We start from the raw sequence: 18,191 nt of genomic DNA, 5'->3' as shown, positions 1-18,191 counted from the left end.
TTCATTCATTCATTCATTCACTCGTCTGACATTAAATTATTTATCAAACTGCCTGGTATCCTGTTAGGGGCAAGACATGATCCCTAGCTTACAGGTAAACATTCAGAAAACTAGAATGTAGTATAATGATTACTCTGCAAGAGTTTAGTATAAAACTTGATGGGGCTCTTCCAGATCTGGTGGTGGAGGTGGTCTGCAAAAACTTTCATGGCTAGAGGTGAGTTGTGAGGTTCAGTAGGAATCAGCCCCACCAGGGTTCATGGTGGAGGCGGAGAGGTAGAGACAGAAAGGCCTTGGAGTACTCTGCATGCCTGAGAAGCAGCTGGTTGTTAAGTGTGGCTACAGTGTAGATAGATAGGGTGGAAACAGGAGAGAGAGAGAGTGGGGAGAGCACTGCAGGGGCAGGTAGGCCAGATCCTGAAGTGTGTGCTGCACGCAGCACTGCACAGTAGAAATAAAAGGAGAGCCACACAAGGAATTTTAAATTTTCTGGTAACTGGATTCAAAAAAGTAAAAAGAATAAGATACAAATTATAGTATTATTCTATTTAATCCAACTTGCCCAAAATATAATTTCAGCTTGTAATCAGTATTAAAAATATATGAAAGACACATTTTTCATTTTCTTCTTTCATACTAAGTTTTTGAAAAATCATCTCAATTCAGACATTAAAATTTCATTGGAAATACTTGATCTGTATTTCGATTTCATAAAACTTACGGTTAAAAGAAGAGATTCACATACCCAAGTTGTTCAAGACATACTTAAACATTTTCTGATGACTGAATTAGGTATTGGTTTTTAAATTTAAATAAACTTTCATGAAAATCACACATTTATTAAAAATTTAGTCCTATATTCACTCTAGCCACATTTCAAGTGCTCAGTAGCCACATGTGGCCAGTGGTTTTTCTGTTGGACAGAACAGGCCTGGAGGATATAGGCCTTATAGAGACCCAGGATTTAAATCAAGTGAGGTCACATGATCAGATGGGCTATGGCATGGCCAGACTAGGAGTTGCATTTGTTCACATTCAGAGTTACAAAGTGATGAGGGCATGTGATGAGGGCATGCTCCCAGGCAAGGGTATGGAGAGGCAGGTAATATTTAAATAGGAGGTAGTGTGGGTGGGAATTGGTAAGATGGGAAATAAAAGAGAAGGAAGATTATTAGATAATTCCTTATTTGGAATAGGATTCTTTCCCTGAAAACCCAGGAATAGGAGCTAGCTTGATTTCAGAGCTTGGAGAAATAAATAATTTCAGTTTGAGGCAAAATTTGTGGCTCTTTTAGGACATCAAAGTGGAAGTGGCCAGAAGGTTGTAGGAACAAGGGACTGCAGCTCTGAGAAGATATTTTGGTTGGGGAAAATAATTCAGGAATCACCAGGATACAGGCATGAGTTGAAGCCACAGAAACGTTAAGGACTTCCAGGGATAGTGCTTGAGAGTAGGGGCCCCACAAACTACAGTTCTATGCGCTGAATCCAGCTGTCGCCTGTTTTGTAAATAAAGTTTTATTGGAACAGTTGGAAAACAGCCACACCCGTTTGTTTACAGATGGGCTGGGTTATATTTGCTCCACAACAGCAGCGCTAAGTAGCTGGGACAGAGAGCATCTGGCCTGCAAAGCTGAAAATATTTTACTGTACAACACCACAGAAAAAGTTTGCAGACCCCTGCTTTAAGAGTTTTGCAGCACTGAGGCCTTAACTTTAGACAAGATGCAATATTGAAGAATGAGCAGAGGAAGGGGATGCTCATTAAAAAGAATGAGAAGGAGCCATCAGAGATAGCGCCAGAGAACCAGGAATGAGGAGGACAACCTGGAGGCAAACAGAAGAGAGATTTTCTTTTTCAAGAGAAATGATATGAATGACAGTGTCTTGTGTCATCAAAGTTTAAGTAAGGTAAGGGTTGAAAACTCTCTTTTGAATTTAGCACCTGGAAACTCATTGGAGTTACCATCACTATCAGTTACTTACCTTCATTAAATTTGTACATACATGGAGACCTATTACATCATATTCTAAATTCCTAAAGTTTGTGAGTTCACGGGAAATGAGGAAAGGGAAGAGGTGGGACTTTGGAGAGCTGTTTTAAGGAGACGTGAACACACCCAGGTGCAGTGCTATGCAAGTTTCCCCATTCAGTGTGATGGACTCAAGTCACCTCCGCTCATTAGTAATATGATAGGGACAGTTTCAGCAAAGAGGTGAGGCAGAAGCGAGCTTGCAGAGGTGGAGCCAGGGGAGGGGAGGATGTCGACACAATGAAGTGTAGTCCTTTCAGGCAGCTGGCAATCCCAGGGAGAGACACTCGAGGTTGAGAAGATGATTTTATGATTGGCGAACCTACTTGTTGGAGGGAGAAGTAGAGTTTGGAGAGATGAGTGTTCGATGAGCAGGGCACTCTGGAAGCAGGGAGAAGTGGATGAAAGTGTCCTAATTTGTCCCTCATTCTCTCTGCTTTGGCCCCATCCTGAGTACTTCTATCAGATTTCACTTCCTGTAAAGCTCATTTCATCCCAGCCCTTCCCTGCTCTCTGCTAATGTAGGGTTCCAACTCCAGTCTTCTCTGTCAAGCTTGGCCACTTCTTTTCTCCTATTTGCTTGCCTGCCCCAGCCCATCTCTCTCTTCTCCACTCCCAGCCTCTTGAAATATACTACTCTACTCAAATGTCTGGGCATCACCTAAGTCTTGGCTAACCTGACCTATAATAGGTGCTCAGTTTGGTAGTATTTATGAAGTAGAAACAGAAGCAAAAAAAATCACAAATCATTAAAGTTTTAAGGAACATAATAAATTTACTTCTGAACAAGAAGTAGAACTCATTGCTTTGATCCCTAAATAAAAAAAAAGAACAAAATCCTAGGCTGGGCACAGTGGCTCACACCTGTAATCCTAGCACTTTGCGAGGCCAAGGCGGGTGGATCACTTGAGGTTAGGAGTTCCAGACCAACCAGGCCAACATGATGAAACCCCATCTCTACTAAAAATACAAAACTTAGCTGGGCGTGGTGGCACATGCCTGTAATCCCAGCTATTCGGGAGGCTGAAGCAGGAGAATCCCCTGAACCTGGGAGGCGGAGGTTGCAGTGAGCCGAGGTCATGCCATTGCACTCCAGCCTGGGTGACAGAATGAGACTCCATCTCAAAAAATAATAATACATTAAAGCATAAAATAAAATAAAAATAAAAATAGAACAAATTCTTTTAGAAGTGTTCTCTGTCACAGCACTCTTGATGCGTGGACCAGGTAATTTTTACTGTAGGGGCTCTGCTGTGCATTGTAGGATGTCCGACAGCATCCCCAGCCTCTCCCCACCAGATTCCAGTGGCACAAGCCCCCTCCTCCAGGTGTGACAACCAAAATGGTCCTCAGCCATTGCCAAATGTCCCCTGGTGGGGGAGGGACAATTAACCATCAGTTGAGAACGACTGCTGTAGAAGGACAGATTGTTAGGCAGATATTTTTCCCTGATTTTTTTTTTAATTCCTGGTGTATCCTTTTCCCTCATACTTTGCATTTTTAATTGTTGGACCCAAAGGAAATTATACTCAAGGTACGTCTCATTCCAGGCAATAAAAATGGAAACCACCCATTTTTGTCTGCTTACCAAGCTGCTAGTGGTGCTGGTCCTATCCCATCTTACATACATCAACTCAGAAAAATCAAAGTAGGAGCCCCAGTGTGTGAACTGATGGTCAGTATCATGCGGCTACTATACCTTAAGATCTTGAGGGCTTACCTGAAGCACGTTGCAGCTGCCCCAGCTTCCCAGCCCATTCAAATCAACCATTCTGTTTGGACATTCTTGAGTTGACGGGCATTCAGATAAAAGTGAGGTCAGAATTCTCCCATCACAAATCTACACCTGTTGGAAGGAAGTCACATTTGTGGAAAAGAACCAGAAATTTGTAAATACATGGAGACTTATTCAATCATACTTAAATTCTTAAAGTTTGTGAGTTCACGCGAAATGAGGCAAAGGAAGAGGTGGGACTTTGGAGAGCTATTTTAAGGAGAAGTGAACACACCCAGGTGCAGTGCTGTGCAAGCTTCTCATTCAGTGTGATGGACTCAAGGCGCCTCTGCTCCTGGGGTGGGAGTTGTCAGTGATGGGGATTTGGTTAGGAGCCCTGTTTGATTCCTGTTCAGTCCAGTTTTCTTGCTGTATAGACACGTGCCAGGTGCACTAATAATCAACCACTTGTATCCACAGTATAAGGTGCAGGATGCTAATCCTACCTGCAATTATTAGCATGTACCTTCTTGACTTCAACAAACTGCATATACAAAGGAGAAATGCTGCTGAAAAGCCAATTAAAGATTTTCTTTAGATTTCGAGGCTTTAAAATGGTAATCAAAGACTGCTTTGAACAGGGCTGGCTTGCAGTATTACCCTCTGCCCTGCTCTGCATTTTTCCCTTTAACTACAACTTGGTAAACAAGAGCTGATTCTTAACAATAACCCAGAAAGTTAGTGTTGCTCTCTAAGCTGTCATTAGAAGAAATGTTGACTTTATTGATGTTATAGTCCTCATATAGCCAGGAGACAGCAGCAAAACACATTTTTTTCTTTAAGTTGAACTGAGAATTCAGTGTTAGTTCACGTTCATTTTATGATGGGGAGAAGAGTATTTGCACTTGAGAATTTTCCAGTGGCCTCCCAAAGGGCTGGGTTTTATGAGCTAGTAATAATCACTGTGATTTATTGAGCACCTACTACATACAAGACACTTTACATACATTATTCCTCTGTGCTCTCAGAACACTGTGCATTTTTCATGGTAGCACTTATCACAATTCTAATCTCCACTTATTTATGTGTCTAATTGATTAATCTGTGTCTTCTTGATTAGACAATCACCTTCATGTTGATGGAACTGTATTGATTTTTGTTCCATGTTGGCACCCTAACACTCAGTACAGGGCCTGGCATATTTTGTATTAACTATAGAATAAATATTGCTTAGAAGGACGAGTGAAATCAGATGCAGAACAGCATGATTTTATAGATGAGGAAATGAGAATAGGGAGTGGTGGGATATCTTGTTGAAAACTTAAAAATTGGCTGAGCTAGAAATCAAGCCCAAGTATGTCTGCCTGTTTTCCACCAGACCTGCCTTCTTAAACTTTAATATGCATGTGAATCACCTTGGGGATATTTTAAAATGCAGGTTCTCATTTAGTAGGTCTGAGATGGGCTCAGGAATTTGCATATCTAACAAGCTCCCAGGTGATGCCTTTGCGGCTGTCCACAGAACCATGCTTTGTGTAGTCATAGCCTGCAACACAGTTGCAGTGCACAGGTTGATCACTTTCTCATCTGTTGGAGGTATATGTGGTTCTATTGGAAACCCTTGTCATGAGACAGATCCCTTGTACTAGTCTCCTCTGGAAGGTGCCACAGGGGTCTACTCTTGGATAAATGCACTGGCTCTTCTCATCAATTGGTTGTGCCTAGGTTATGATCCTCTCTCCCCCGCTCCTCTCTCTCTTTTGGGGGAGAACGTGATCAACAATGGCTGTGATCTTTGATGAATCTTAACTCAGGTATTTAGCATGCTCGTTATTAGGAGCCCTGTTGTCTCCGTTTACAGGTGAAGAAGACTAGTAATTTTAATTCCCTATTTTAGAGTGTTGTTCCTGTCCCAAAGATGTCCAGTACCTCCACCCCTCACAGCTACCATGGGCATGCCAGGGAGTAGCAACACCCTTTCAAAAGTTTCTTTGGGTGTTTAGTTGATGAATGAATCCTGTTGAGAATCTGGCATTATCAGACATCAGATGGTCCCGCCGTTGACCCTGTAGTCATCCAGTGGCCCCAGCACTCAGCAGGCAAAGAGAAGTGGCCCCACTGTTGGTACCTGTTCTACCTATTCAGGGCACCTCAAGCCCTGTCTTTCTCGTTGGCATGTTCGTGACAGCATGATTAAGGTAGCTTGATAAAGGACTTCTGTTTCTTTCTAAATCTCCTCCCAGGCTCAGCACTTCCCCATGGGGGAGATCCAAGGTCTAGGTGCTTATTTAGACCACATGATAGCACATGGATGGATGGGCGGAGCATATCTCTGTGCAAAGGGGCCCCTCAGCCAGAGCTGGACTTGCCTCTCACCAAGCAGGCAGATGCTTTTGTCCCAGCTCCACCTAAGTACGCTTTATCACCAGCTTCTGGCTGTTTCTCAGATTCCAAGTTCAATCCTTGCTAACTGTAGGGACAATATCTGCATTCTTGACTTTTAGGCCGACTGATTCTTTGTACTTCCCAGCCATTCACTCTAGATCCATTCATCATCGTAGTACCTGATTGGAACCCACTGCACCCTTCATTCATCATGTAACACAATGTTACCATTTTTATGTGTTTGTAAGATTTGAATATATACATATGTATGTTGCATTTTATTTTTATTTTATTTTTTTTGAAATGGAGTCTTGCTCTGTCGCCCAGGCTGGAGTGCAGTGGCACGATCTTGGCTGACTGCAACCTCCACTTCCCGGGTTCAAGCGATTCACCTGCCTCCGCCTCCCGAGTAGCTGGGACTACAGGCACCCACCAGCACACCCGGCTAATTTTTGTATTTTTAGTAAAGACAGGATTTCACCATATTGGCCAGGCTGGTCTCGAACTTCTGACCTTGTGATCCGCCTGCCTCGGCCTCTCAAAAGTGCTGGGATTACAGGCGTGAGCCACCATGCCCGGCCATGTGTATGCTGCATTTGAATTGTGTGGTGGTAAAAATTGAAGGGGTGCCTTAAAAAAGATTTACTTTAGCTCTGTATTTTGAAAAAACTCTTTCAGATACAGTTCTTTATAGTGTTCAGCTGTGTTAAATGGTCTTGAAGGGTAGCTTAATGAGAAAAGGTCTTATGTGTTAAGGACATCATTATATTGTTAAAATTCTGCTGAATGTAAATAGGCAGATGCCTGTAGTTTGTCCTGAATCCTTTACTGAAGGGCTTGCCTTAGTTGTCTTCACATGGACAAACAAGGCACAGGAATTACAGATGATGAATGAGGAATATACCACTGATGGAATTTTCTTAAAACACACCGTGTGTTTCCACATCTTTCTTTTTACATTAGAGTTTCTCCCTTCATTTAATTTTCATTTGTTTGGGAGTGTTATTTTGGATTTAATCTATGTAAACTATATGCCCATGCCTTTGGATTAATGGACTTCACAAAGGTAGTGATTAAAGTTTACAGATGTGGGAAGCTACAAATACGAAAGGAGGCTTACATTTTTCTCTTTTTATTCATTCATATATATATATATATATATATATTCCCATTTTGTAATTCCTTAGCATCATGTCATTGTTCCCATAAAAATATACTGTATTTTCTGAAATGATACAATCTATGAAGCATTTCCCATTACGTAGACACCATGTCTTTAAATTATAGCAATTTCTTAAGATTTTAAGGCAAAATGAGCTCTTAGAAGTGTGATTAATAGCAGGGAATGAGGCTAATGCTGGGTCATCAGTGGCACTCCATTACAAAAAGGTTGGATTAATAAAAGCATTCATCTTTTTGACCAATAAAGCATTTGAATGATATGCTTATAGTTCTTATAGTAGTTACTTGCTACTAAATAAACTCTGAACTTGTATTGTGGAAAGGCGGCATGACTTAAGTGGCTGATGCACAAGTTTTTTGATGGTGTGAGAAAAGGCAGGCCTGGATGGGAGGCTCATTGTTGGAGCTACTGGTTTTTAGGGTGTCTTCTACAAGCGTAATACCCATGAACTAGGAGCCTCATTTGGTTTGGGGGCAAGTGTAAAGAATCTGGCTTCTTGGTTGATTATGTCTTTAGCAGTGTAAGTGTCCATGTAGCCCCTCAGTACGTGCTTTGTGAATTGCACTGTTAGGAATCCAGTGCTTAAGGGTCAAGATTATAGCGTGGAGGTTCATGAGGGTCTCTTAAGTCTCCTGTAGCTCAGTTGCCCAATATATGAGCCTTGTACCACTCACGGATAGGTTGGGAGAGGATTTTTTGGTGGCTCGTAAATCATTCACCAATTCGCATTACTGTGGTTCAATGTTGAAGCAATTCCATTTTCAATTCTTTTTTAATCCTTCTGATAAAGCCAAGGAGAAAGTCTCAATTTGGTACTAGTATCTTTAATCTGTCTCTCCCAGTTGTAAGCTCATTATTTAACAAAGAAAGAACATGGTTCCACTCAGAGCCTCTGAGAAACAGCAGGTTCTAGCAGAATTTAATATCATTGGTTAGGTTTTATAACATGCATTATAAAAGTCTTTCTCACCTACAAAGGGTTACATACTGGTTTTCCATTTGAAGAAGTGATACAAAGTTTCCTCTGAAGGTAGATTTATTTATCAAAAGTGAATCATTTTTTAAAATAACAATATGGTAGATGTGGATGGAGATGGTGAAAATAATGAAGACAGAAGTAAAAGTGAATGCATGGGGCTTGGGAAACTAGCTCCGGTGTCCACTAAGATGCCACAACCTTTCTGAGATTCTCAGAATTTGTAAGATTTTCATTCTGGGGAGGAGTTGTGAAAAGAAAAATCAGTCCTTCCCAATCTTGAGTTAGCCCAAGGCCTCTTTAGAACTATTTTCTATTTTAAAAATAATTTGTTGAACAGCTTATATAAAAGCCTTCTTAATGTACTTTTTTAAAAATAAAACTTTTACAATTTGGGATTCATGGGGAATAAAATAAGTAAACTGGGTACATAGAAGTAAAACTAAATGTGGGCCCGGCATGGTGGCTTATACCTGTAATTCCAGCACTTTAGGAGGCCAAGGGGGGAAGATCACTTGAGGTCAGGAGTTGGAGACCAGCTTGGCCAACATGATGAAACCCTGTCTGTACTAAAAATACAAAAATTAGCCGGTTTTGGTGGTACACCCCTGTAATCCCAGCTACTCGGGAAGCTGAGACAGGAGAATCACTGGAACCAAGAGGAAGAGGTTGCAGTGAGCCAAGATTGCGCCACTGCACTCTGGCCAGGGCAAAAGAGCAAGACTCCCATCTCAAAAATAAAAATGGAAAAATAGAACTAAATGTGGGTTAGGGCAAGTGTAACACCACTGCTGGGGAAGAGGAAAGAAGACACATTATTTATCCTGCTCGTGATAAGGAATAGGTGAAACCATCTTCAAACAGAAAAGAGTACCCCATTCAAGCAATGATTATATGCCCAGGTTTAGCCTAGTTTTCAAAACTCCAGGACTCAATTATGATTTCCCTTTATGAAGGGAAATTGTTACAACTCTTTGGATTACCATTTAGAATTGTCAACTATGTTTATAATCCTTTACTAATATTCTGGTTCATCCAGGGTTCAGGAAAAGAAAATAAAAACTGAAGCTCAGGAGAACTGGACAAGAGCTGAAGTGCAGAGAGTGAATCATCAGCATTTTCTCCTGAAGACAGGACAGTGAGGATACCAGGACACAGCCCTCCACTTTGACTTTTTCATTTTGTTTTTCTCTTAGGTTTTCACTGGGGTGTTGGTTATAGAAGCCCCTTCACTTTTCTCTACCTCCTAGTCATCCATAGGGTAGTGAGCACGGAATCTGAGAACGTTCTGTTCTCAAAACATTAGAGGGAAGATTCTCTCTGTTAGTTGTTCCAGCAGCCGGACTTGCATCATCAATCAGTTGAGCAAGTCTGATTTTCTTTCTCAAGGGCAGTAGAACAGCTCCAGCCCTAGAGGGCTTTTAAGGGAAGTTCTTGATGTCTCTTCCCTGCATGTCCATCAGGTGTTAACAGGTCCTTGAGCCTGAAAAATGGCCTCCTACCAGGGCACTGAATGCTCAGTGGAAATTTTCTTCCCCTGACATTGTCGAGGCCTCAGGGACTATGTTGATTTGGGGAAAGATGATGGTTGGCAGAGAGGGACTTAGGGAACAAACCACAGAGCAACAAAACAAAAACATGAAAGACAACACACTAGTTACTTTGTGACTTTAGGTTTGCAGAACAAAGATTAGATAATTCAAGCAAGGCCTGGAAACAAGAGCAGCTAGAGAAGGTTGAGGAGTTTATTCACAGTGGAACTCCGGAGGGGGATATCTGTTGTGGGGGTTGGGGCAGACCAACACAATTTTTGTTACTTTCTTTTTAGACAGAGTGGAAAATTCCAATAACCTGATTGTTAATCATGTAATTGCCAGAATCCACTTAGGTGTATCTTTATTTTTTTAATATCCTTTTCTCATTTCCATATTTTGCTTTGGATATCCAGCAGACAGTGTTTTGCTGCACTTTGCACTGACATCACGCAGAATTTAAAAAAATTAGCTAACTGATTATAAGTGTAAGATATAGATAAATTACCAAACTGTTTTTCAGTATGTTTTGCTTATTAAATTTTAAGTAATGGAAGGAGGTTTTTCACATGTATCAAAATTAAATTAATGGTGTTAAAGTATCTGTAAAATAGATTGAAACTAATGTTTTAATTGCCGATTGTGTTTCTAAATATAGTATCTCTGATAAGGCATGATAACTTTCTTGTAACACACAGTAAGCTGCTTTATGTGGTAGTGCACATCAGGGAAATTTTTAGAGATTAAACGTTTCTTCTTAACACTTTTGTTAGGGACACACCGAACTTATTGTTCATTCTGGGCTTTGAAGAGCTAAGATTTTATTGATAAGCTGACAGAATGAACCCCTGAGTGGTTACATGGGACATCAACTGATTATTTTATTTTTTGATATTTTGTAAGGAAAACATCATAAACTGATATAGTTGGATTTTTGCAGAGTAGTTGAGAATGCTCTGCATCTGTTTGTGGGCCCACTGGGCTTAAAGGTATCTTAGAATAGAAGCTTGATATGAGGAGACTGGAGCATTAAGGTTTTCCTTCTGGATGAAACATTAAAGATTCGAATCTGTGTTTGACCCATATATTTCATTGATAAAAGAAGATGAGCCCAAGAAATGAATGCAGAGTTACTGAAGCATGAAAACATTATAGTGTTTTAAAGCTGTTTTCAAATCCAACCTTTAGTAGTTTAAACCATGTGGATGCTTTATTTTTATCTGCAAGCCAGGAAATAAAAGGGTATTGACTGAGGTCTCTTGGTCTTATTTTGGGGTGACTGACCTCTTTTTCTTAAAGGGGCCTGTTTTTTGTTTTTTAATTTCTAAGTAATGTCACCAGTAAAGAGTTAAGCGGATCTGACTGGCTTCACTCTGGCTTATATGATGGTGAGTAATGTGATGTTGGTAACAGCAAATTGTTGTTTATAAGCAAACATGGCATTGTGCAAACAAGCAGGCTTGGTCTCCAACCGGTTTGATTTCATGGTGGTCAGCAGCTGATCTATGTAACATACAACCTTTCTGCCTCTCTAAATGTCAGAATGACTGTTTGTTTATCTTGCCTTCTTCCCAGCTGTTTACTCTGTAATGCATTTACCTCGACCTTGATTCTCAAAGAGTGGCCTCTTTCTCCTCCCCAGTTCTGTTTACGTTAGCCCTGCCCCTGCTGTCACCTATGAAATCTGTTGATTATTCCACCTGGTTAATGTTAAATTGCTCTTGTAAGATGATGTGTTTGTTCATAAACACAAATGCTGGGCCCCTTGTTTACTGTACCCATGGCAGCAATCGTTATTAAACAGATATTGCTTTGTTTGCGGGTGTGAGCAGCAGTTTATCCTGCAAGGTCTGTTTAACAGACACACACACACACACACACACACACAAACTTAAATGCTAGAATTTTGATAAAGAAAGAAAAAGGGGAACTTGTCCCTGGAATGTGGTTGAAACAGACTTAGGTTTGCTTTTCTTATCTTTTGCTTGGATGAAGGGGCTGGTGAGATTAGCAAGTTGTTTGGTTTTTCTAAGAGATTTCCTTAGTGTAATGATATCTATGCAGTTGTTTGCTTTTTTCTGAAGGGAGAGAGCTCTCCTGAAAGGCCACTAGCTCAGTAATAGAGCATCAGATGGCTAGAAATTTCTTTGTGGAACAAACAAGGACTTAGAAGGTGTAGGAGAAAAAGTCTAGTACTATGAACAAGGCAGTCACCATTGAAAGGTACAATCCTTGGATTTTGTGTTACTGTGTCTATCTTGCGTGTTGTCCTGTAGGCTTGATATGATCCTGTTGGATGCATGTACTCTTTGTCAAGTTTGAGAAGGGAGGATTAACTTTTACTTTGATGTGTTCTGAATAAATCCCCCCTGCCATAAATGAAGATATTTTAACTGGGAAGAAACTACACAGTTAATATGCATAATGTATTTTTAAAAGCCAGTGTTTTTACTCTTACCTGTGGTTCTTACCTGTCCATTTTAAAGTGAGTTTATGCTTTGTATCATTTCTAGTTAAGTAAAGCAAGCATGTGGCTCTTTATCTAGTTTGGTGTGTGCACATGACGCTTGTCCCTTGGACACTGGGAGCCACCTTAGATAAGACCTGAACATTAGCCTGGCCTTTGTCATGTTTTGCAAACAGTAGAGAAAACTCTCAGCTCGCATCATATCATCATTTTTTTTTTAAGTTATTGTTTGTTGCTGTTTCTGAATTTGCCTTGTGTTTCAATATGAGGTATGCTCTCCTAGCATTTGCTGTAAATTACAAAGATACAACACCGACCAGGGTGAGGGTGGAGGCTGGAGGGTCATGACCTGCAGAGGCAAATGGTGGTCTTTTATGTCAGAGAAGCCTTGCTCATCTGTCTGTGAGAGCAAGTTTCAGGGGGGAAAATACATATATGTATATTGGAGTTTTTGAAGGATAAAATTAAATAATTGTTCCTTTTGCACAACGGAGAAATGCAAGCAACAGAATTCTGATGGCCCACATTCACTACATTACCATGATGCTGTGAACATATTGTTCACTTTGGCCACTAGAGCGGTGAGGGGCTTGAGCCAAAGCGGGAGATACGTGAAGTGTGTCATAGATCACGCCAGTCATTAATCTATGTTATGAACCTGGCCTCGTGTACATTAAATGATAGAAAATATAGAAATGAAAAAAAAAAAAGACTTTTCTGAACTGGTTGTTGGTCACTTTATTCCACTGGGCTATTTGTGAGAATTCAGCTGTTTGAATGTTCAAATGATTAAAGTTCCGTGGGCTTTGTTAGTTCTCAAACTTAAAATCTATTTTGTTCTGTAAAAATGCATTTTAATTACGCTCCCCAGAACACCTGGCCCCATCATGCCTGACCTTCAGAGGCTTCCTTGTGGCAAAGCAAACAGCCTAGCACTGGATTGGCAAAGCTCCTTTTCAGTCTCTATTTAATTATTTGAGCTCCTCAGGATTAATATGCGAGGGAGTGGGTATGCATTCTGCTTTGTACTTGTTTCCTAGAGCGGCTTCTTTCTAACTTCCCTCGTTTGCCCACAGTTGCTATGATTACGGCACTTAAACTCTTGTCTATTAGGAAAGAAGCGAACCAAGACCCACCAGAGCTGAAAAGCTAAAAAATATAAATTGAGACATCTGTAATTTTTGGAGCGGGGTCAACTTGTTATCTGTGCTCATTGGTGTCTTATAAAGATTACGTTATCCAAGAAAGTTTGATGAAGACAGTTCTGAAGAATAAGACATTTACAGTTGCTCTGAACAACTTTACTGCCTTGGCATTGGAATGCAGAAATCCTTTTTTTCCTTGGAAATATGAAGTCTCCTGTCTTCACATTGAAAGCCTGGTGAAGAAGGGGGAAGCCTGTGCTTTTGTTAGGAACATTATTTTATTACCACCCTATCCCGCCAACTCTATTCTGAGTCATGAATTACAGGGAAAATTAAACATCCCATTGTCTACCTTCTCCAGCCCATCTGAATTGTCCATATATATATTCAGTGTTTCCAATGGGTTTTTGTAGGAAATTTCATTGGTTGATTATCTTTCAATGTTTAATGAGATCATCCTACTTCTCTTAAGACCTAACAGATTTAATTAATGGCTTGTTACTTTTGGAGTTTCAGAACACCAAAACAGTTAAAGAAGTGTACAGGAAATAGAGTATTTTTAAAGTTGGAATATAAAAGTTGGAGGCCAGCACAAGCCCTTGATCTCATTTGATCAAGAGGTTGGCCTTGGAATTTTGTGTCATTTAATCATTTAGTCAAACATTTAGTAATTATGTGTTAAATTCTTGTTATGTGCAAGGCATACCTGAAAGTTAAACTTGAGATAAAAGATGTATTTATTTATTATTCTTATTAAACAAATGGAGCTGGGGAAAGTGGACAAGCAAACTATTTTAATCTGAATGCTTCTTCCATTTAATTGATAAATATAAACTATTCCTGGTTTAATTGATAAATACAAGTTAGTTCCTATTTCTTTTCTTCCTCTTTTGAAGGCAAGAAAGCTGCCGTATTACATTATTGAAAATAAGCATGGGTTTTCTAAGTTTTTGCCAATTTAGTGTTCCTTGCTTGCGTTGGTCATCATAGCTATAGATGATCCCCACTGGCCATGTCAGATGCATTCAAATGCATCTTGCCTTTGCTTACGTGTACCAAGCCCTGCACCTCCTGCGTTCCAGAGGGCAGGACAGGTCAGTGGCGCCGTTTGGACACAGATGCTGTGTTCTCTAGGAGGGGTGCCCCTACAGCTGGTTTGTTTCTCCTCCCTGGGGAGGCCCGACTCCTCACTTCCATGGGTTCTTAGCCTCTACTCACCTGAGACCTGGAATGATTCCAGTTTTACCTGATCCTCCTGTATGGCTAAATGAGTGGCCACATTTGTTTTGGTTTTGTTTTTTTTTAAAACATGCTTTTGACAATTTCATTGCTCCTGAACTTTTTTTCCAGAGGGGCTAAATGAAATTCCAGATTTTTAAAGATACATGTAGATAGACATCTATGGTGCATGATAAAGTTGATAATACATAAATCATTTTTAACAACAGGTAATATGCATAATTTATGGTGTTACAGTGCTATCCTTCTGATATTTATGATGGATAATGTTCAGTTTTGGCCCTCATATTACTGCTTTAAATTATACCACAAGAAAATTAATGAGAAAGTAGATTTATGGGTTTCATTTGTTTGTCAATTCGGAAATTAATTGGGTGTTAATTTTAGCCGTCCCTTATCAGACCAGGACTGTAGTATGTGTGCATTACTTTGCATTCATTGTAGCTTACCTCCCATTTACTGTGGGTCACTAGCTTTGCATACATTAAAATAGCCCTCCGGCTCATTCCCTTGATTACTTTTTGAACTGCCATGCTTTAGAAAATTTACGCCTTTCTGTTATAATTATGAAAATGTGGTATTGGAAGACGGTGCCTTCATAACACAGTCAGCACACTGACTTTGCCTCCTAAACTTGGCTCTTGGGTAGTCTTTCCATGAAATGGGACCCGGGTCAGGAGGACAGTGGATAGACAAATGGTGTGTCTGTAGGGTTCATTCATAATTTGTAGAAGTTATCTCAGGTGAGAAAACAATTGTCTGATCTAACTCTGTTTCTCTTGTTTTGTTCTTTCTCCTCCCATCTACCCTTTTTGTTTTTTTCTTAAGAGTAGCCCATCCAAGCCCATTTGTAGACAGTAACTCTACATCTTGGGGCTGCCATCTTTCTGTCTGCTTCCTTAACCACTAAGTCTCATTTGTCATCCCCTCCACCAGTCAGTGCCTCATCTCCTCATTGCCACCTGCTCCAGCAGCATCTCGCCAGGTGACGGGTGAGCAGTGTAAAAGCATGGCCCTCATGCTAGCAAATGTGATGTCTCCATTGTTGCAGTCCTCTACTGAGAGTCTGTGGCTTTCATCTGGGATTTCCATTGCTTGATTCCCTCTCTGTTGTGAAGAGAGTAACACCCACATGAGCATTAAAGAGTACAGAACTGGTTTAATATCCTAGGCCACCCTACCGTTTGCCTACTAGGGGAAAAAAGTCTGTGGAGCTGCACCCCACTGCTTAAAACTCCTTTGTTTGTCTTATGTTGCCTTGTAAACCCTTTGCACATTAAAAGGGAACCAGTTCGTTTGCTTGATGAGAACCAGAACTAAATGTATGCTTTATATCATAATATAGACAGGTTGGTCTTCTTTTTTCCTCAGTGGCATGAACACGATTATTGAAGGTTTTAAATCTTAATGATGCAACATGAGTAATTTTAAAAGTACCTCTCTTAGAGCTAAAGCTAGTCTGAGTCTCATCCTTATTCTTTCTCAGTCTACTAACTGCATGGAGTTAACTGACAATAAAGTAAGAGGCATGTGTTCAATATTTCCAAAATAATGAAATCTACACAGTGAAATTCACATTCTTTTCCTTCCTTCCTTCCTTCCTTCCTTCCTTCCTTCCTTCCTTCCTTCCTTCCTCCTTCCTTTTCCATGAGCTTCTGTTATCTCTTCAGAATTGCATGCCATCTTCCTTTTTTCTCTGCACATGGATGAACAATGAGAAAGAGAATTTTTCTTTTCGGATGGGGGGTGGACTGTGTAATTACTCTAATAATTTTCCTAATAGTGATTTCACCATTAACTTCTCTTCTCCCCATAGAAATAGAAACATATTTTACAAAACTATGTTTAGTTTAATTTACACATCCTTTTATGAAGAGACCAACTTCTTTAAGGGCATTTATTCTGCTTCATATAAATAATTGATCAGCCAAGTTAATTTACTTCTGCCTGACTTGGTCAACCTTAATTAACTGCCCTGGAATCAAGACTGAACTTTTTGTTAGCTTAAAATCTTTCACAAGCATGATAACAAGGGCTTTATTTTCCCTAAATTTTCAGCATCAACACTGTAACCAAGGAAATAATCATAATAATAAAGCACAGCTTTAATTTACTATAAATACATTGGCCTGGACATTATGAATTTTCCAGAATACTTCCAGAGAGCAGCTCTGTTGGCAACAACAATAAATAAGCATGCTAAACTCAGTCCTTGTCCTTTTCTACAAGTCCCTCCAGCACAAAAATCGAACCTTTGAAGTCAGTAGCTCTGTAATGTTTCCAAGCAAGATGAGAAGTAGATCATTTTGGCTTCTTTAGGCTTTTTGACATCTATGCAATTGCAGCATTGACCTTTGTAGGGTTATATTAAATGGATCACGTGATTTAAACAGGCTCAGTTCATCTGGAGATGCCACACAGGAAAGCAGAGGAAGATTTGGTCTTGTTTCTGGAAGAAGGACTTGTTTGTGGGTATGGTGTGGCCATACCTTTGTATTCAGGCACTTTGTATGATTACACAGTGTTTCCTGCTGTCAGTATGTCATGGAGCAAGGCAGTTAGTTAGTTATAGAGTTAGTTATTCCCCCAGAGAGAAGCAGAGGTTATGCATACCGGGTGCCTGAGACAAGCTTCCTCGAAGAAAAGAGGGTGCAACGTCCCTTGATGGAGAAGATAGATTCCTCTCCTATATATTGACTTGATTTCAGATGACTCTAATAGTGAAAAGTCAAAAGAAAAAGACAGTTGTTTGCAAAATAGTGCAGATGGCTTATATCATTGTATTTTAATGCTTTTCTTTGTCCACCTGCCACTCTCATTGTTGTCTTTTCTGGAATTTCCTTAGTTTTCTTTTCATTAATTTCATTATCCACTACCCAGCACAGGACTTTACAAACTGGAGATTCTTAATAATGGACAAGTTCATGTCTGAAACAGAATAGTTATGGCTACATCTATCCCTTAACCGATTGAGCTTTAGTTTTCTTATCTGTGAAATGGGGATAACATTTACCTGCCTTATCTCCCTCCTAGCCTTGTTACAAGTTTGAAAAGCACATCAGAGGGCTTTTGCAATTTGTGAAGTGTGATACAGATATAAAGGCTTATTAAATGACTTGGAACGTTTGATAGAAATATTGCTGGCCCAGACACTGTTAGAAATGTTCTTAGACATTGACACTCCTATTTTTTCACATGTGCTTTTCAAAAAGCTGTTTTCTCCTGATTGGTGTGGGAGATTATGGGAAATTTTAAATCTTCCAACCTACATACTACTGTTAGCACTTGACTAATTAAGGACATCCTCAGACCAAAATAATCCTTTCTGCAATTTTGGTCCCAAAGCCTGCACTCTCACAAACCTGATTCACAAGCCAAGCTGCTTGGCTTGATGCCTGCAAAACTTGTACTGGAGGACTTGGCAGTCTGCTTTGGAACTGCATGGAGCAAAAACAGGGCCTTCTCATCAAATTGTGTATTGGAGACTGTTCTTACTCCACCCACCAGAATGGTGTCT

At 40.1% G+C, this 18,191-nt stretch overlaps 1 protein-coding gene across 12 annotated transcripts in view, besides 1 other annotated feature; it reads left to right on the top strand.

Moving 5' to 3' along the window:
- Positions 1–18,191, top strand: part of FOXP1 (forkhead box P1) — a 629,271-nt gene that overhangs the window by 363,731 nt on the left and 247,349 nt on the right. The gene's annotated exons all lie outside the window — the stretch shown is intronic.
- Positions 9,532–10,077: an enhancer, noted in NCBI's record as "NANOG hESC enhancer chr3:71259322-71259867 (GRCh37/hg19 assembly coordinates)". NCBI's record gives its function as "activates a minimal SCP1, AML or CMV promoter by ChIP-STARR-seq in naive H9 embryonic stem cells {active_cell/tissue: H9 hESC(naive)}" and the evidence as "EXISTENCE:reporter gene assay evidence [ECO:0000049][PMID:30033119]".

The sequence above is a fragment of the Homo sapiens genome, chromosome 3 (assembly GCF_000001405.40).
Source record: "Homo sapiens chromosome 3, GRCh38.p14 Primary Assembly".
Lineage (NCBI taxonomy): Eukaryota > Metazoa > Chordata > Mammalia > Primates > Hominidae > Homo > Homo sapiens.
This window is presented reverse-complemented; position numbering and strand designations above follow the sequence as displayed.